The sequence below is a fragment of the Homo sapiens genome, chromosome 5 (assembly GCF_000001405.40).
Source record: "Homo sapiens chromosome 5, GRCh38.p14 Primary Assembly".
NCBI lineage: Eukaryota > Metazoa > Chordata > Mammalia > Primates > Hominidae > Homo > Homo sapiens.
Window position 1 is genome coordinate 59070568 of NC_000005.10, and position 21060 is coordinate 59091627.

General features: G+C 35.4%; 1 protein-coding gene across 26 annotated transcripts in view; it reads right to left on the reverse strand.

The window, feature by feature from the left end:
• The window catches only part of PDE4D (phosphodiesterase 4D), a 1553091-nt gene that overhangs the window by 101530 nt on the left and 1430501 nt on the right, over positions 1-21060 (reverse strand). The window contains exon 6 of one of the 26 annotated variants that reach the window (NM_001364603.1): positions 20515-20558. The exons of 24 other annotated variants lie outside the window; for them this stretch is intronic. Coding sequence is in view for 1 of the 2 variants with exons in the window: in XM_047417301.1 (XP_047273257.1) it covers positions 20527-20558 (32 nt within the window). In the remaining variant the exon portion in view is untranslated. Of the gene's footprint in view, positions 20559-21060 lie in introns of all 26 variants that reach the window. One more of the 26 variants, XM_047417301.1, reaches the window with a different exon arrangement.

The following is a 21060-nucleotide window of genomic DNA, read 5'->3' on the forward strand; positions in this document are numbered from 1 at the left end:
TATATTATAGTCTTACTTAGATTGATAGTCATTGTGTTTCCATGAGCAGAACCAAAGAAAAACTATAAGCAGCTAAACTATGTAACATACCCTGATTACCTTTTTTTCTTTGTTTTCCTTCTTGAAAATTCTTGTCTTTTGTTAGTTTCTTTGTTCCCTTAGATGTCCATATATACTTATCACTAATTCAATCCCAAACTTTTCCCATATTACAAAAATCTAAGTATGGCTCAAACACATCAAGAATTTTATTAAATTCATCTTCTTGAAGAAATCTCATCCAGAGGCCTCTTTGACCTGGATTGGTTATTCTCCATGTCTCTTGCTCAGCTGTCACTTTGGGATGTTCTTTCCTTATTATCCCAAGGGTAATGTTTTTAGAGTTTATTCCCTTGTTTTGGTGAGCACGTTTTCCAGTAGCTTCCTGAGTCAGTATGCATCAGAGATACATTTTTTAAAGGCTCGCACCTCAGAAATAATCTTTATTCCATGCTCACTCTTGATCAATAGTTTGGTTGAGTATAGAATTCTTGGTTGAGAATCACTTTCCTTCGGAATTTAAAAGGCATCACTTCATTCTTTTCTAGGTTTCAAAACGAATCTTCAGAAGTCTGATGCCCTTTTGATTTTTGATCCTTCTATACGATACGATAATGATCCTTAGAACAAGTCACAAGTCTCTTTTTTAATACTTTATATTGTGCTAAATGCTCCAATTAATGAGTTCTGGAAATTTTTCTTCAATTTTGTCCTCCTGCAGTTTTCTCTTTTTTCTAGAATTTCTGATTTTAGATGTTAGATTTCCTGAACTGGTCCTCTGATTTCCCACTTTTTCTTCTGTATTTTCTACCTTTTTGTATTTTTGCTCCATTTCCATAGAGATGTCCTCAATTTACCTTTCAACCCTTCTATTGAGTTTTTAACTTATTCTATCATGTTTTTACTTTCCAAGAGCTCTTTTCCTATTCTCTGAGTTGTTTTTTTTTTTTCCATAGCATCTGCTTTTGTTTCGTGGAAGCAATGTTAATATTTATGAATACAATATCAAGTGTATTTCTTCTCCTCTCTCTGATGATACCTTCTTCCTGCAACATCTGTACTTTTTTATTTCTCTTCTTTTTTTTTTTTTTTTTTTTTGAGATGGAGTCTCACTCTGTCACCCAGGCTGGAGTGCAGTGGGACCATGTTGGCTCACTGCAACCTCCATCTCCTGGGTTCAAGCAATTCTCCTGCCTCAGCCTCCTGAGTAGCTGGGATTACAGTTGCCTACTACCACGCCCAGCTAATTTTTTTATATTTTTAGTAGAGACGGGGTTTCACCATATTGGCCAGGCTGGTCTCGAACTCCTGACCTAAGGTAATCCCCCCGCCTTGGCCTCCCGAAGTGTTGGGATTACAGGCGTGAGCCACCGCGCCCGGCCAACATCTGTACTTTGAAGTTGGTCTTTTTCCATTTGTTTTGGTTTCTTTCACTTACTTTTTCTAAGTATTTGATAAATCTTATCTGTCTACTCATATTTAAGGCTAGAGTACTAAAAATCAGATTGGAAGCTCTGTTTGCATAGGTAAGATTTGTCAACTACATCCACTTTTTGATGATCCAACTGAACAGTTTCATTCAGAAATACCTTGCACCATTATCTTTGGGTTTTTTCTCTTGGGTTGGTGAATTCTCCAAAGGTTATATCAATCTCCTGTCCAGAAGGCTTAAGCATAGTTGGAAGCTGACTAGGGGAAGAAGGTTGGGACTTTCAACCTTCGGAATTCATTCAACAAATATTTGAGCATCTATATTTGGCAGCCTCTATTCTAGCCACCGGAGACACAGTGGTAAACAGAATTTAAAAAGCCTTGTGTTATCATGAACACAAATATATAAGTGTTTATTTAATCCCTCTGTTTTCAGAATGGCACTCAGTCTTCAACCTGCCTAGGCCCCCCTTGTCTAGGGACGGTTTTACATTCATCAGGAAGTATACCCCTTGTATACTTGTTTTTCAGCTTCCAAAATTTTGTTGCTGTTATCTCCCTTCCCACTTTCTTTGTCCTTGTCATTTATGCCTATAAACATCCATTGATGGTTTTCTGAAGGCAGAGGAGTTAAATGGATATGTTAATTACTATAGATGTAATCAGAGGTCTTCATGTTGTTTTTTTGTTTTCTGTTTTACTATTCTAACTTGGCATTTATAGATCTTCTTTGTGAGTAGTCTGAATTTGTCTTTAATGATTTAACATTGAAACAGTATTTTCCTTACTTATTTGCATAAGCTCTTTCTTTGTTAGTGTATTAGCCATTGACCTGCAATATCTTTTAGGATGACCGATTCTGAAGCCTGCTGACTGAGTTGCTTGTGGTTCCTGTCATTTAGAATGTATGCAGGTCATGAATCGCTTAGATGGAACAGATGGAATGAAACTTGCTCTAAATATTTTACCAAAATAAATACATTTAAATAATGTAAAGAAAAATCTTCAATCACTAGGCTTTGAACTTATAACAGAAAGGTATCTGCTTTTAACTATATTAATTCAACAAACTTTATTGAACAGTTGGTAAGTATGAAGCATCATCTCTCTGAGAACAAAATACCAAGGAACTGAGTCCCATCCTTACAGGATTCTCAGGAGTAAATGGGTCAATACATAGTTATAAAATGATGAGGGCTGATCTATAGCAGAAGTACAAAGCTGAGAACAACTCACTTGACCTGCTAAGCTGGGGAATTCAGGAAGGGTTCAGATCTAAAGAGCAGACATTTGAGGTGGTTCTTGAAATATGAGCACAATGATGGTTTTACCAGGCTGCAAAGGTGACAAAGTGCATTCCAGGCTGATAAAAGAGGGCATGCAAAATATGGCAGGTACAAAAATGTGTATTTAAGGAAGAATGAGAAGTTTCTGGAAGTTGCTGAAGATACAGAAAATAAAGTGGGGGGCGGGGGGGGCGGGTGGTTGGAGATGAGGAGGAGATGGTAGGCTTGATTCAAATTATGGAAATGTATTTATAATGCACCAACTTGTAAAGACACTGTTGTTCCCTACCCAGCAGCCACTAGAATTTGTTCAGGTGTCAGGCGGTTGGTGCTTCAAGGGAGATCAGGCCCCTCCCAGGACCAGGATGAACCATGATTACTTCCCAGCCAATTTCATAGCATTTCTCTTGCCAATGAATGGCTTAGATATAAGCATATGATGAATTTGTTTCTAATACAGATCTGAGAAAGAAATCTGTTAAGGAACTTCTGGTAAAGTTTTTATCTTTCTTAAAAAGTGACAGAAGAAAAGGAAGTTGTATAAATATACTTAGAGCTGCTGTAGTCATCTTGAGACCATAAGAGGATAAAACTGAGATCAAAAACTACTGTGCTGAGGATGGGTGACTAGAAAGAAGGAAAGAATCTGGATTCTTGATGCATGTTTGTACTACTAGAATCATTCTATCACTACCTTCTTATTATATAATTCAATAAATCTCTTATTATTTAAGCTATTTTAAATGAAGCCTTCTGTTATATGCAGCCTAAACAAATATACTGATTCAAGCTCCCAGCAAATTCTGTCACACATAATTCAAGGAACGTTTGTTAATAACTTCATACTATTATATGGGGAATAAATGATTAGTCAAGAAAGACTTTCTGTTTTGAAAAATTCTGGAAAGATGATAATACAGTATGTAGATTTATTGTCATGGCTAATATACATCTACATATAACATGAATTACCTTGGAGTAGTAATAAAAGGGCAGAGTAATAACTTGTGCAGAGCCCTAGACTAGAAAAGTTGAAAATATAAAATGGAGGAAAAAGTGAGTTATGAGATTCAGTAATATGAAAGTATAAGAAATAAAAGAATCCAAAAGCCATAGAAGGTTGAAACTGAAAAGAATTTTAGAAAGCGTCTAGGCCAGGTGTGGTGGCTCACACCTGTAATCCTAGCACTTTGGGAGGCCGAGGCAGGCAGATTGCTTGAGGCCAGGAGTTCCAGACCAGCCTGGCCAACATGGTGAAACCTCATCTCTACTAAAATACGAAAACATAACTAGGCGTGGTGGTGCATGCCTGTAATCCCAGCTACTTAGGTGGCTGAGGTGGAAGGATTGCTTCAACCTAGGGAGGCAGAGGTTGTAGTGAGCCAAGATCGTACCACTTCATTCCAGCCTGGGTGACAGAGTGAGACACTGTTTCAAAAAATAAAAAGAGAGTCTAGCCTAAACCCCTTAATTATACAGATTGAAAACCAGTCCTGGAGAAATTGGAAGTCCTCAAAGAGTTTACCATTAATGGTGGAACCAGGACTTCCACACAATGTTCTGACTTCCTTTAGAGCACTTTTTATTATATCATATAGTTCCTTACTTCTCACTATTAATAGAGATTATTTTACTAAGAGTAAGTATAATAAGAGCTGATCAGAAGACCTGAGAGACATAATGGAGTTTCAATTCTAATTTGCTGTTGGCTCCTTGAAATGCTTTGTTGAGAAGGAGTAAAAAGCTTACAAAACACACACACACACACACACACACACACACACACACACACACACACACAATTTCTTAATTATGTCTACCATGGGCATGGGATGGTAGGAATGCCATGTAACTAGTTTCCATGGATGGAAACCACCTAATGGGAAATAGAGAAAAAGAAAAAGAAAAGAAATTGTGTGTAAATTTTCAGCTCATTTTGGCTTAGATTACATGATGAAACTTATTTCTTTGAAAAACTCATTTGATTTTGAATTAGATTATATGGAACTTCTCCTTTGTCAATTTTAATTTCTTGTCTTGTTTTAGTTTGCTTTTCTGAGCAGTAGATATCCTCCCAATTGGAGATTCCGCAAAATTAGTACTTAGTCATCTTGGTTCCTTTCAAGTAGAAAAGTTTCTTTTAAATACTTCAAATCATTGGTATGCACATTTGTTGCAAAAAAAAACCTCATTCTGGAAAATGTTGCTTATTTTATTATCCAAAAAATAGGTATTTATTAATATACTGCATTTCTTTTAAATAAAATAAATTACAGATTTTCTTCCAGCATCCACTTATTTGGAATTGGGTACATATGAAGAAAAGACTTCTTATAATATGGAATTATTTCAAAAGCTATTATTACTTCTTATAAATATAAAGCATACAAGAAATTCTCACCATTTTCTAAGATTTACATTAGAAAGATATAAGTATTGTCTTTTAGAATACTGTTTTTATTTTTCTAAATATTCCTTATAACTTACTTATTAATTTTATCCTTTCTTTGTTATAAATATCCATTTTTTTTAAAGACCCATACTATCTTTTCCTATGCAATTTAACCTAACATATTTTCTGTAAATGAGGTTATTTAGTTATCCATTTTTCTACCTCCTGTTGCTTGGCAGTCCTCAAAACCATTGCAGATCTTTCTAGAGAGCAGTTTTTAAGAACAGTGCTTTACTTTTCAACTCTTGATCAACCTGATGAGAATTCTTTGAATAAACCAGAAGGAAGGCTAAAGAGACAAAAGAATACTATAGTTTCCTTAAAGTTAATGAGCCAGAATCCTTTGGCCCACTTTGGCATTGAACAATGTGAATAAAATGGCCACTCTCACATCAGTAATTTACATTTTATACAGTGTGTACTTTACACTGATATTTACAAAGAGGAAAAACAACAGTTTTTTACATGTAAGAGGAGCTCCTTGGCAGATAAAAGAAAAACTTACTCCCATTAGTACAACACTGGAGTTTAAATCTAGAGAACAAGTACTTCAGAACCTAGTAGAAAAAGTCCCTGATTTGTACTTTGTATGAACAATTAGGTTTGAGAATATTGCTATATAATCACAGAAAATACTGGCTATTATACTACGTGAAGTCTTCAGTGACAAAGAGAGAAACAGAAAAAATAGTTAATGCCATAACAATGAAAATGTGGAATGTGAGGAACGCCCAGTGACCGTAAATATCTACCTTAATAAGCCTGACAATTTGTATACAGTTCATGCAATTAACAAGTGTGATAAATATGATTATTACTCTCAAGTTGAAATCAATTTTCTTGGCTAAAAGCAAAGAATTGTTATTGAGCAGATGGGATTACTTTTCTTTGCCAATTTATCTTCATAAAACTCAATCAATGCCTTGCCTTAAAAATGTCAAATAACTCAGATTTCAGGATAACACATACAAACTAATCTCTTCTGCCTGTCTCTACCTGATCACTCCCTACTTCAAAAGCTCCAACAACATAGTATAACTGACACAAATCAAAGCAAAAACTATTTTTCTCACTGCTACATGGTCTTATCAATAATCCAGTATTTCAATATCTAATAAAAGATACCACAATTCAAAGCAGTAATGTGCCCCAAGCTACCGATCCACAACATATATATTGATATCTAAAAATATATGGATATAACTTGTTATCTACTAAATAAGTTTCTTTGCAGTGTGGTGTTAATAGCCAGAATTTTAAATACATAAAAACTTGGGTTCAAATCCTAACTCTGCCACTTAAATGCTATATGACAATTGGTCAAGTTACTTAACCTCTCTCTGGTCTCAAGTTTCTTGTCTGTAAAGCTGTAATAGCTTTTAGAGTGCTCTTCTGAATATTAAAAAGGCATTATACTCTTAGCATAATGTCTACATAGAGTAAATATTTAACAACAAAATAACAAATATTAGGTGTGTTATTGGAGAATTGGAGTTTTAAATAAAGGAGTTGTCCCTAAGGTACATTCAATTTAACTATGATATTTAAAACTTCAATTTTTCACATTATTTTTCCAGGAAAATATTTCACTCTTATTTCTCCATAATTTGTTTTGAATTGTAAAAGAGATTTGCAAGCGGCTGAAGCAGTTACACTATACTGTATATCTGCAGGATGGGCAACTGATTTTTTTTTTCTTCTTTTTTTTTTTTTTTTGAGACAGAGTCTCACTCTGTTGCCCAGACTGGAGTGCAGTGGTGCGATCTCGCTGCAACCTCTGCCTCTCAGGTTCTAGGGATTCTCTGCATCAGCCCCCTGAGTAGCTGGGACTGCAGGCACACGCCACCACGCCTGGCTAATTTTTGTATTGATTTTCAAGATTTGTCAAGAGCTCCTAATATTTTCTTTTCTCAAACACATCTTAGGACTACCATGCATATCAGTCAGTCAGCTACTCTGGAGGTCTGCTGCAAGGATACACACCTTCCATTCCCACCCATCAGATACTTGTCTCCTTTCTCCCCCACTCCAAGACAGCAACCTTCCAGCTCTAGATAAAAAGAGCTAGTCTTTCTTGCATAAGAACAACAAAGACAAAAACCATTTTGGTAGTGTATACTGCAGATTTTAACCAAAACTTCTCTGAAGACCTCTGATTTCCTAAAAAACCTCTTCATCCCAGTGCAGTTGCTCTTTCCTAAATGAGCAACCGCGCATCTGGTCAAATTTGGTGAATATTCTGTGCTCCAGAAACAACTGATTCCATCCCCTTTAATCTCTTCTTCTCTTATATCCATCTCCCTCCTTGTTGTTTCTCTCCATGTTTACAACTAGTTCATTGATTTAAAAACCAATGTAATACACAAGGAAGTATGCACGACAATGTTTAGTGTAGTATGGTTTGCAATATTAAAAAAGGCCATCAGTAAGAAAATAGTTAAAGGATAAACTTGATATACATACTATGCTGCAATTTAAGAAAACTGGTATAGATTTATACGTACTAAAATAAAATAATCTCCAAAACATAGTAAGTGCAAAGATCAATCACAGAATAACATCTGTAGTATATCACTTTTGATTTTTAAAAATTACCCCTAATTCTAAATGTTCATATATATAAATATTCAGTTAAAAATTCTGAAAAGATACTGCTATGGTTTGAATGTTTGTTCCATCCAAAACTCAGGCTGAAGTTTAATTGCCATTGTAACAGTATTAAGAGGTAGGACTCTTTTTTTTTTTTTTTTGGTGACAGGGTCTCACTTCAACACCCAGGTTAGAGTGCAGTGGCATGATCATAGCTCACTGTGGCCTCAGCTTCCCAAGCTCAGGTGATTCTCCCACCTCAGCTTCCAGAGTAGCTGGAACTACAGGCACATGCCACCATGCCCAGCTATTTTGTTGTATTTTTTTGTATTGATAGGGTTTCTTCATGTTGCTCAGGCAGGTTGGTCTCGAACTCCTTACCTCAAGTGATCCACCCACCTCAGCCTCCCAAAGTGCTGAGATTACAGGTGTGAGCCACCACATCCAGCAAGAGTTGGGACTTCTAAGAGGTGTTAGGTCATGTGAGCTTTGCCCTGATGTAAGGGTTAATCCTGTTATCACTGGAGCAGGTTTGTTATAAAAGAGTGAGACGTTTGGTCCCCTTTCCTCTCTCTCTCCCAATCTGTCTATCTCTCTCCCTTTTGCTTTCTGCCATGTGGTGATGCAACAAAAGGACCCTTAACAGATGCCAGCACCTTGATTTTAGATTTCCCAGCCTCCAGAACTGTGAGCCAATAAATTTCAGCTCATGATAAATTACCTAGTCTCAAGTATTCTGTTAGAGCAGCACAAAATGGATTAAGGCAGATATACACCATATTGTATCCATCACTAAGTGGATACTTTCAAGAAAGACAGCAAGACTAAGGAGCATGAAAAAGGACTTTCTCATATTCTGAATTTTAAAAATATTTTATGACATGAATATATTTATCTATTACCTATGTAATAAAACTAGACATTAAGAGAAAAATCTCATGGTAGAAATCTTAGGAAATAGAGAAAAATTAGAGAAAATTAAGAAAAAGCATGCATAATTTCACAAACCAATGGTAGCCACTGTAAAAAAATGTTATTTCATTCTAATACATTTCTACACACATATGCACACAGTGCATTTTTGAAAACATAACTGAGTCTTTTCTAATTGACCTCTTACTCTACAAAATTTGAAATAGCCAAAACAAATTTTTGATTCCTATAAAGAGATAGCACTAGAGCTGGAAGAGATGGCTCATGCCTGTAATCCCTACACTTTGCATGACTGAGGCCAGAGAATTGCTTGAGGCCAGGAGTTTGAGACCAGCCTGGGCAACATAGCAGGACCCATCTCTACAAAATTAATAATAATAATAATAATAATAATAAGCTGGGCATAATGGTGTGTGCCTATTGTCCTTGCTACCCAGAGGCTGAGGCAGGAGGACTGGTTGAGCCCTGGAAGTTCAAGGCTGCAGTAAGCTATGATTGCATTACACTCTACCCAGTGTCAAGGAAAGGAAAGGAAAGGAGGGGAGAGGAGGGGAGAGGAGAGGAGAGGAGAGGAGAGGAGAGGAGAAGGGGAATGGGCAGGGGCAGGGGCAAGGCAAGGAAAGGGGCAGGGGCAGAGGCAAGGGAAGGGGAAAGGGCACTAGGACCTATGAGCCAACATAGGCTATGGCTTCCACTAGTACAACTTAAAACTCAGCTGAAGACATGACACATAGAAAAGGGTTGCTGTGTCTGTACACACACACGTTTCCCATGTTCCCAATCCCAGTCTGTGGTCAGTGAAAGTGAAGATTGCCTCAGAGCCTGCATTATCTCAAGCTACTGACCTAATTGCTAATGCTTTACTCTGGTCTATTTCCTGCATGACCTCAGAATGTGTCAGTGTAAATTCCATAGTAAGACAGTAGTTGCACATTTTGGAGTGTGGATTCTGCTTTGAAACACAAATAAGTGTGATGAACGTGACCCTGGCACTCTGTAGCCCTCAGTTTCCTCAACGCTAAATTGATCACTACAGTTCCTTCTAGTGTAAACAGTCCCACGAAGAATCGTGCTGAATGGATGACTACATAATGGCCTGCTCCTAGAGTTCTTAAATCAATCCTTAAAACTGGCTGCAAAATGACTTCACTCCTTTAACAGTGTGGGACTTGTCTCTGTTCTCCAGAATGCTCACCAGATGGTGAAGAAGTATCTCTCTACCTACCAACATCGTCATATTGCTTCTTGCCACTCGCTACTCAAAAACTGTGAAAAACCTGTGGGAGCAAGTATCAGCTGAAAAGGGTGGCTTTCTCCTTAGGCAAAAGCTACAGGGCAAAACGGGGGCCCCAAACTTCTATCACGTCAAAGACATGAAACAGATGATCCCTAGTTTTGATCTTCTTTGAAGTTTATTAAAAACAAGCTTGAATCTGTACCAATCCTGACAGGTGTGAATGTAAGACTCACAAATGAGAAATGCTAAGCTTTCCTAATGTTCAATTTAATCTTATAGACCATGAAACATGTTATAATTAAAGATCTGAACTATTAATATGAAGGAGATAGCATATATTCTTACCCCAAATATGACTAACTAGGTAAAATCTTCAAAATATAATCATGGCCTGATTATCAGCCATTGTGGAGGAGAATTTTAAAAAGTTCTTCATTGACATCCCAAGTTTATGTTTTAGACACTTCTAATCAAACATGAATAGATTAACTTCAAGTAAAAATTAATAGTCACATTATTGATTATCATGATTGGAAATGTATTTGACCAGAACAATGAGGAAAGAGCATAGAGTCCTGCTATCTTCAAGTATGAATTTACACTTTTAACTGATGTCAAGTCATCCATAGTATGAAAACTCATTTATTTTTATTTGAAAAATTTAAAACCATCAAAATGGATAGTGTGGGAGCCAAATAATATATAAGCAATATTTTATGAGAACTACAAAACTATTAAGAGCAGTAACTAGAATTCGGTTACTGCCGTTCCTTATTTCAGAAGAGAAAGTCAAATGTTTTCTGATATTTAAGAAGTAATAACTTCCTGTTGTTCAGTTATGCTTTCTATAATTATATATGATAAGCAACAGAAAAATAGGTCTGGTTTTGGCTGTAATGTGTATATTCAATTCAATATTAATTTGGACTTTAAATCATTTTGCTATCAAATATTTTGAACCTCATGACCAGGAAGTAATCAGGTAAAAAAAAAAAAGAAAAAAAGTGGGTTTGTTACCTGACCTATCTCTTAAGTTCAAACTTTCTATAGGTATTTTTCTCTACCTTTGTCCATATGGTTATACAATTATCACTAGATGCTTGAATTACTAAATGGTTTTGTATATCTTTTCCTCAAATTTATATTTGTCCTATTATTGGCTTAGTCTCTCAAAGTATTACTTTTATGATATTGCTATAATGGTCCTCTATAGTATAAAGTTGAGCCCACACCATTTATCCTGCCACTTAACAATGTCCTTAATGTAGATTATATGGTTTGGCCATGCCCTAACCAAAATCTCATCTTGAATTGTAATCCCCATAATCCCCATGTGTTGCGGGAGGGACTGGGTGAAGATAATTGAATCATAGGGCAGTTTCCCCCATGCTGTTCTCATGATAATGAATGAGTTTCACAAGATCTGATGGTTATATAAGCTTCTGGAATTTTCCCTGCTGGTGCTTACTCTCTCCTGCTGCCCTGTAAAGAGGTGCATTCTGCCATGATTATAAGTTTCCTGAGGTCTCCCCAGCCATGCAGAACTGTGAGTCAATTAAACCTCTTTTCTTTATAAATTACCCAGTCTAGGGTATTTCTTCACAGCAGCATGAGAATGGCCTAATACAGTAGTATATCACACTTATTAAAGAGTTGATAGTAAAATAGCACTCTCAGTACAATAAGAATAGAATAGTTCCTTTTCATGGTAATGAATAGCTTTTCTTCGACATCTATAATTAACAATGAAATCAGAAACAAAAAGAAGCTGTCTCCACTATTACTGAATGTTGCTCAGAAAATTCTAACGTAAGCAACCAAACAAGAAAACCAAATATGCTGTACAAATATTTTTAAGAGAGAAGGAAATCATTCTATTTTAAGATAAAAATTCTGTAACTCAAAATTCAGGAGAATCAACTGAAAGGTATAAAAAAGGTAGACCATTATGATTTATAAGAAAGGTCAAACATTATAAAGCATGTATCCACAACAGGTTTTTTTCTATATACCAGTTAGAAAATAGATAAATGATCCTATTCATAATAGTAATAAAACATATCAAATATGTATAAATAAACAACGAAAAATGTAAAACTCTTGTATAAATATTATTGCAAAACATCACTGAAGGACATTTTTAAAAACTTGAAGAATATATCTAGTTTCCTACATGGGAAGAGTCAATATTATAAAGATATCAAGTCTTAGATTAATCTATGAGTTAAATGCAGTTACTTTTGCCCTAAAATGTTAAAAGGCTCTTAATTATGCAATTCGAAATGTGATGTCTACTTTCTTCTTGAAAGCATTTTTCCTGGAACCTTCTGATGACTCTAACTTAGGCTGCCTGCTTTCTAGGCCTACTACTACACAGTTGTCATACTGGGATTTATTTTCATAAACATCTGGGTTGGTTCCAATGCTCTTTGTATCCTAGGTTTTCTGTATAGGATTCCCGTTGCTTTGTTTTGCTTGAATATATCTTCGAGTAATACTTCCTTTTAATTAGGAAGAATCTGTAGGAGGTAAAGTTGTAAACTTGAGTCCTTCCATGTTTAAATACATCTTTAGTTTGTCTTAACACTTGATAGTTTGACTATCAATTTTGGGTTCTAGTTCTTCTTCCTGAGAACTTTGAAACCTTGCCTAGTCTGCATTCACTTCTAATCTTGCTGATGAGAAGTTTGATACCTTTGAAAGATCCTTTTTTTTTGTTCTCTGGAAGGATTAATTTCTTATACTTAGAATTCCAAAATTTTCATCAGCATGTGTATACACATCTAGATATGTATCCTTTTTTCCTTGTTCGGTGTTGGATGAAACTTTTCAATCTGAGGACTTGAATTACTCTTCAGGTCAAGGATTTTTTTTCTGTTATTTTCCCACATCCTTTCCCATTCCTCCACTTCTACCACATTCTTCATATCTTTTTTACTTTTCCATCATATTTTATATCCTTGGCTTTTTGCTCTATATTCTAAGATATTTGCTTAATTCAATATTCAAGAATGAATATTACTTGAATTGCATTTTATCCAATCTTTATATATACATATATATTCAGTATTCTGCTATTTATGGAAATCAGATCATACTTAATGGTTATATTCTCCCCCTGAATATCTCTGAAAATTTAATATTGACAAATTTTTCCCACACTTTTCATTGTCTCTGTTTCTTCTGGAAAGCAGAAGATAAATTGTCTCAGGAAAATAAATTTGTCCTGTTTATTTATTAGTTCCTTTTTGTTTAGGCTACTGGTTTTTTTGTTTGGTTTGGTTTTTTGTCTTTTTTCAAATGTCTGGTGATCCTTTCTTGACTGGGAATATTTGTAATTTAAGAACTAGGAGTTTCTTAAGTAGTTGGCAGGGATATCATAAGGAGCTCTGTAGTACTTATAAACTGCTTATAAGCAACTTAATGCAATTTCAATCAAAATCTTAATGGGTTTTTTTGGGGGGGACTTGACAAGTAGATTGTTTGTATAATTTAGCACAACGATGTGAGAATAACCCAGGAAATTCTAAAAAATAAGATTAAGAGGGAATATGTTCTCCCAGATATTAAAATGTATTTCTTAAAATCCATAATAATTATAACATGGGGCTTTTTGTCTAGAAATAGGATGTAAAGATTAAAAAAGGAACTAACCATAAACAGTAGAAGTGGCATTTCAAGCCAATAAGGAAATAATAGATTATGTAATACCTAGGATTCTGACAATTTAGAAAATCTAGGAAAAGAACATCAGAGCCCTGAAATAAAGTAAAATAAATTCCATAATTATTAGAGATATAAATATATGATGTAAAATGATTAAATACTAGAAGAAAATATTGGTGTTGGAAAAGAATTGCTAAGGATTTATAAAATATATTTATATAGAGACTATATAAACAATATAAACATACAGGCTACATAGGGACTATTTAAACTTCTATTTATTAAAATAGAGTATCTGTAAAAGTAAAAATAGAAATGAATAAATGGCAAAAAAGTGTAAAAAACAAACATAAATGAAAAGTTAATATTCTTAATCTCTAAAGAACACTCTAAAATCAATAAGAGGCCAGGGGTGGTGGCTCACACCTGTAATCCCAGCACTTCGAGAGGCAGAGGCAGTCAGATCACTTGAGTCCAGGAGTTTGAGACCAGCCTGGGCAACAAAGTGAGACACCTGTCTCCTAAAAAATAAATAAAAATAAAATCAACAAGAAAAAACAAATCAGCCCACGAATAAATAATAAAATAATAAAAAGCAAATATGTATAATTGCCATTAGACACACAAAACAGATTTTAATATTCTTGAAGCTAAATTAATTCTTATTAAAACAAAATACTATGTGATTCATCAAATAAAGAGAACAATTAAAATGATAAAATATAGCAACGGAAATAATGTAGAAATAGAGACTGCTGATGAAGTATATATAAACTTTCTGCAGGGCAATATGACAATAATAGCAAAAATAAATCTTTAAAATATTGGGCAATTCTTTAGTTTGACAATTCTAATTCTAGAAATATATAGTAAGAAAACAACCCAGCCTTGCTATAAAGACTCTACACAAAGATATTCATCACAATAGTGCTTATAATGTGAAATCTGGGGAGAGCTTCAAATATTTAATAATAGAAAATTGCTTAAGTGTAGTATATTCATGTAAGGAAATGCCATTAAAATGTTATATAGAGAATTGTATTTAATGGTAAGAAAAGTGTTCATGATGCAATATACTGTGAAATTTTAAAAGCAGATTATAAAATATTACCTTCAGTATAATCTCATTGTTGTTAGTAAAACTCCTTCTCTCTCTACATACACACTCTCACACACAGAGACAGAAAAATTATCTCTCAATGGCATAATTATTGACAGTTCGTTTTCTCCCCCTTGCTTATTATTATTTTGTAATAGATATGCTATAGCCACTCAATAAATATTTGTTACTAATTTCAAAAAGTATGTATTATTATATCCAGGTTGTTCATGGAATTTATCATGCAAACAACTACCCTCTTGAGAGAGTCAAAAGTGGACACTATAAATTATGAATTCATATAAACTATATCAGGACAATGGGCATAAACTGAGTGTCCCAGGCACGGCAAAATGTGCGGATACCCTGGAGATGTATCTTGACTTTAAGAAGTTTACAATCTTTCTTGGGGATAGAAGATTAAAAAACATGAAACCATTAGAAATAATCTCCCACAATTAGTTTTGTAAAAGCAAGTGCTTAATTGTACTTGACAAACATTAGATGTTACTGGAGGTCTAAGAAGTAAGAGCTGAATACTCGTCAGAAAAGCTCCCTGGAGGAAGTGGGGACTGAGTGATACTTTTAGAATAGGTAAGAAAAAGAATAATGAGAACTTTTCAAATGGAGGTTGGGGTTGTAGAAGGAAAAGAATCAAGTATTCAGAGGTAGCTGATAACGATGTTGTATATATAAAATCACCCTGACTTTTGCAAGGGGTCCGTCTATACAGAAGAGTAAAAAGTAAACAATCTATTAACAATGTACTATCACTGCCTCCACTTTACACAGGAGAAAATCGAGGCTTTAGAAGGTTACATAACCTGCCAAGGGTCACATAGCTAAAAGTGGAGAGCTGAGATTTGAACCTAAGGAGTTGGTTTCAGAGTCTATGCTTTCCACCCTATGCTGTACTGCCCACTACAGTCAAGCTCTGGCTTCTTGTATAAATCTGATGTCACTCTTTGTGGGACTGCTTATAACATTTCCTCACCCAGAATCCATACCTCCTCCTTTCTGCTCTGTCAGAGCTCTTTGTCTATTCACACACAGTTCAAAGAATACCTTCTCCATCAAATTTTTCTAACAATTCCAATCTTGGAATTCTCTCCTACCTTGGAGTTGAGAACACCACTCTCCTAAATTTCTGCCTACTTCTCAGCCACTACTTCTCAATCTCTTTGTTGGATTCTTCTTTCTCTATATTTTTGTTTTTTTAGTCTACTCATTGCCTGTGTGAGTACCTTCACCCCCAAAACTACAATACCTACCTACCATTGTGCTGAAAACCCCAGCTTACATTGCTCTTCCACATTCCATAAATTTCTATCTGGATGTGCACAGACACCTCAAACTTCATATTTCCAATACTGGCATTTACCCTATCTGCAGTTTTTACTATCTTATGGACAGCAGATGCCAGAAATCTAATCACTGAAACCAGAAACCCATGTACAATTCTTGAGTCCTCCCTCTCTCAAGCCTAAAATCCTGGAAGTCACCAAGTTCTGTCTATTTTACTCTATAAATAACTATTAGATTCTTCTTTCATCTGAACTCCCTTAGTTCAAGCCCTCTTTGTTTCTCATATGATTATTGTAGTAGGCTCTGAACTGGTTTTCCTGGTACCTGTCTTTCCCCTGCCTACTCCAATTCTACCTCCACATCAACATTTCTCAAATTTGAGGGGTCATAGACTTCCAAGGACATTTCCACAATCCCTGAGAAGTATACAGTTTCCATATGAGAAATCACTGTAGCTAAAAGTTAAATACTTTTCTTCAGTTGATTATGTATAGCTAAGGCAATAATTCAAGCATTAGTAAATACAAAGCCAAAATGCAGGCACATTACGCAGAAAATGCCTGTTCTTGGGTTTTTAAAAAATACGTTAAAAAAATAAGGCCAGATGTGGTGACTCCCACCTGTCATCCCAGCACTTTGGGAGGCTGAGGTGGGATGATTGCTTGAGACCAGGAGTTCGAGACCAGCCAAGAAAACATAGGGAGACCTTGTCTCTACAAAAATTTTTAAAAATTAGCCAGGCACAGTGGTGCGTGCTTATAGTCCCAGCTACTTGGGAGGCTGAGGCAGGAGGATCGTTTGAGCCTGGGAGGTCAAGGCTGCAATGAGCCATGATTGCCACTGCTCTCCAGCCTGGGTGACAGAGCAAGACCCTATCTCAATAAATAAATAAGACCACAAAGGAAAAAAATTCTTACAGAGAATTATTGAAGTATAAATTGTGTCAAAATTGAAGAATATAATAAACCCTAAGATTAATAGTCCTGTCCTTGAGAAAGATCATCAAGTGATGCCCCCATGCTTTAAAAAATATTCCAAGCTTTTTAGCATAATATCTAACATTTCTTAGCAGTTCCTAATAGGTTACTTCTCTGTAGTTACCTCTCTCACTCCTTCCCCATCACCTATAGTGCCACAATCTGTAACCTGTTTGAGGCTCTCTCACACCTTTCATACTGCAATATTTGCTCGAACTATTGACCCCCAACCTTACTCATCTTTCCTTTCTAACTAACTAACTTCTCCTCATCCTCAAAGCCCCAGCTCAAGAATTTTCATTTCTGGAAGAATCTCTGATTTTCTTCTCTTCTCTAGTCTTGAAATGGTATGTGTGAACCCACAGCTTGTTGTAATGTCATTGTCCTTTCTGTTTAACACCCTCAGTTGCTGGTCCTTGAAGTCTGGGACTGTCTTAATCTACTTTAAAGTCTTCAAGCCAAGTACAATTCCTAGGCATGCAATACATGTTTGTTAAATAGATGGATGACCTTTATTTATATTTATCTTTCCCTTTTCTGCTACAATTAGTTAACTCATTCATTTCTTCATTCACTAATAACCACTTATCTGTTATTTTCTGGGAATACAAAAATTCATAAAACATCATCCTTGCCTCCAAAAAACACTTTATTATTGTGCCATCCTTCTCTCTCTTTCTCTTTCTCTCCTTCTCTAATTATCTAGTTGTGTAGGTATTTTCTTCAAAGGAATAACAGGTACTCAGAGGAACACTTATACACTGTTGATGGGAGTGTAAATTAGTTCAACCATTGTGGAAGACAGTGTGGCAATTCCTCAAAGACCTAAAAACAGAACTAGCATTCAACCCAGCAATCTCATTTCTGGGTATATGCCCAAAGGAATATAAATCATTCTATTATAAAGACACATGCATGTGTATGTTCATTACAGCAGCATTAACAATAGCAAAGACATAGAATCAACCTAAATGCCCAACAGTAGTAGACAGGATAAAGCAAATGTGGTACATAAACACCATGGAATACTATGAAGCCATAAAAAAGAATGAGATAGTGTCCTTTCCAGGAACACTGATGGAGCTGGAGGCCAATATCCTTAGCAAACTAACACAGGAACTGCATGTTCTCACTTGTAAGTGGGAGCTAAATGATGACAACTCATGGACACATAGAGGGAAACAACAGACACTGTGACCTATCAGAGGGTGGAGGGTGGGAGGAGTGAGAGGATCAGGAAAATCAACTAATGGGTATTAGGTGTAATATGTGGGTGATGAAATAATCTGTACTACAAACCCCATGACACAAGTTTACCTATGTAACAAATCTGTACATGTACCCCTGAACTTAAAAGTTAAAAAGAAATAAAAAATAAACAGAATAGTAGGGATTCATTACAATATCTTCTCTCCTCCTCATAATTCTTAAACCTGTGTAGAAGTTCAATACATATTTGTGGAATAGCCTTATTACGCCTTTAGGGAATGGAGCAATGCCTTGCCTATTAATCTATACTTCTATCAGAGTTTCCTGCTGTATGGAAAACCTGAGTGTTACACTTCAAACAAATGAGGCAATTTATACATTTTTGTTGTTGTTGTTGTTGTTGTTTTTGGCATAAATGTGCTAAGTGAGCTGGAGTTTCAGAAGAGAAACTGAATGTTATATGTGAATCCAGGTCAGTAGCTTGGCTCTGACTACAATACTGATTTCATTCAAGATAAGGAAACTAATTGGTATCAATTTTAGTTGACATTATATGTTAGTTTTATAATATTCAGGAATTTTTGAAGGATTATTTGATTTTTATTTTTATAGATGTTCTTGCTCTTTAACACTAAATAATGAGGAAAGATAATAGGGCTAACATTTATTAAGCATTTATGTTGGACAGGCACTGCTTTAAGTATTTTTATATGTATCAACTCATTGAATTTTCACAACTCTTAGATCTATTTGATAGCTGGGGAAACTGAGGCACAGAGAACCTCAAGTAACTTGCCCAAGGTAAGCCAGCTAGTTAGCATGGACCAGTGATTCAAAAACAGGCAGTCTGTACTCCTTACAACTGTATTATGCTGCCTATAAAAGGACCACTAGACTAATAATTATGAAACCAGATTTTTAATCTTAAATTAGCCATATAATAGTAGAGTGCATTTAAGGATGTCATCTGAGTTTCATTGTCCTTGTACCCCTTACAGCCTGTGAGAAGGAACCTTTATATAGTCTTTCATAAACTGTAAAGTGTTATAAATTCAAAGATTTCTTATAATATGTTAAAATTACTTTTAAGAGTTGAGAAGTCCAAATAAAAGCAGAGAGATGAGAGGAAACACTAGCACTAAATGTTCAGACACCCACTGACCACGTCAAGCTGCACATTTTGTTGCTAAACCTAAGGGAGAGATTAGATATGAGGAGAGTGGGAAGCAAGAAGGTATGAAGTCTGGGTATTTAGGGACTAATAGAAATGATTTTCTCGATTAGTTTAAGAACATTAGCAATTACTTACGGGATAAGCACAGTTAAAGGAATTTCTGGAAGGAATAAAACTATAAAAATTAGTCAAATTGTTAAAATATCAGAACTGTGTAAAAGCATATAAAGTTTCATCATATCTTTCTTTTGAAAAACAAACAAACACTTCATGTTCTAGCCAGTTGCTAATAGTGATCAGTTGATGAATACACCTCATGTTTCACGCATATAAAATTTTACACCATGTCTAGTCCATAGGCATTAGTGTAGGAGTCAGAATACAACCTGAATTCTGTTCGCAGCTTTGTGCCTTGTCGATAAAGCAGTGGACATCTCTCCACAGGGAGATATGTTTCCTCCCGTGATATAGAGGATGTTGATTCACTTGTCTCCTCTCTATTTCGAAAAGATGCTCTGAAGATTAGTGAGACAATGGCTGTAAAGCTCTTTGCACTGTTTACAACATAAATCATACACAGACATACTGGCATGAGAAACGCTATCATCATCTCTTTTATACATGAGAACAACCATAAGGAAAACAAACCTCAGAGACAGTCCTGTATTATAAAAATGTTGGGTAGAGATGCCAAAAGTTGTAGGGTAGGAAACAGCAACAACAACAACAAGACGGAATCCAAAGAATATTTGCATTCTATAATATATTCTACAGAGTCTCAGACGGGACCTTCGTTGAGTGCTCCCAAGTATTATCAGTAGCCATGTTTTTTTTTTCTTTTTCTTTTTTTTTTTTTTTTTTTTGGTAAAAGGGATAAATAGTGATGTCAGGAGATGCTGCAAAATATATTCCAGTGATAAGCATATGGCAAGCAATTAATGGATGAATTCGCCTCTCTTATTGCCATGTTGTGACAAATACTCTAACTTATTTGGCCTTTGGCTCCCTAAAGGGTGCTCAGAAATGCTGTTTAGAAAGTACTTTTCATGAAGAGCTACAACAACAACAAAAACAAATACAATTCAAATATCTACTAAACATATGAAGGAGTACTCACTCTCATTAGTAATCAGAGAAATGCAATGATCCCATTATAGAGCCCTGTCATTTGAAAAAAAAGAAAGAAAATCCAAGTGTTTTTTATTAGAACGTGGAGCAACAGGAATTCTCATTACCTTCTCAACCACTTTGTCAAATGCTTTCTGCTTATCTGCTGAAGTTAAAGATATGCATGACCCATGAATCCACTCCTAGGTATATTCCCCCACAAAAATGTACGCTTATGTGCATCAAGATACACGCACATAAGTGTTCGAAATATCTTTATTCATAATATTTCCAAACTGGATATGTTCAACTGCATAAAGAAAGAAGATTGGACAGTAAATTGTGGTTCCTTTATACAACAGAATGCTATATATCATGATATATATTATGATGTGCAATCCTCAGCTACATACAACATTGATGAATTTTACAACTATAATATTGCACAAAAGGAGCAAAACACAGGAGTATCTACAAGATGAGTCCATTTACATAAAATGCAAAACAAACTAAATTGAACTGTTGTTTTGGCATGCATACATACGTGGTAAATCAT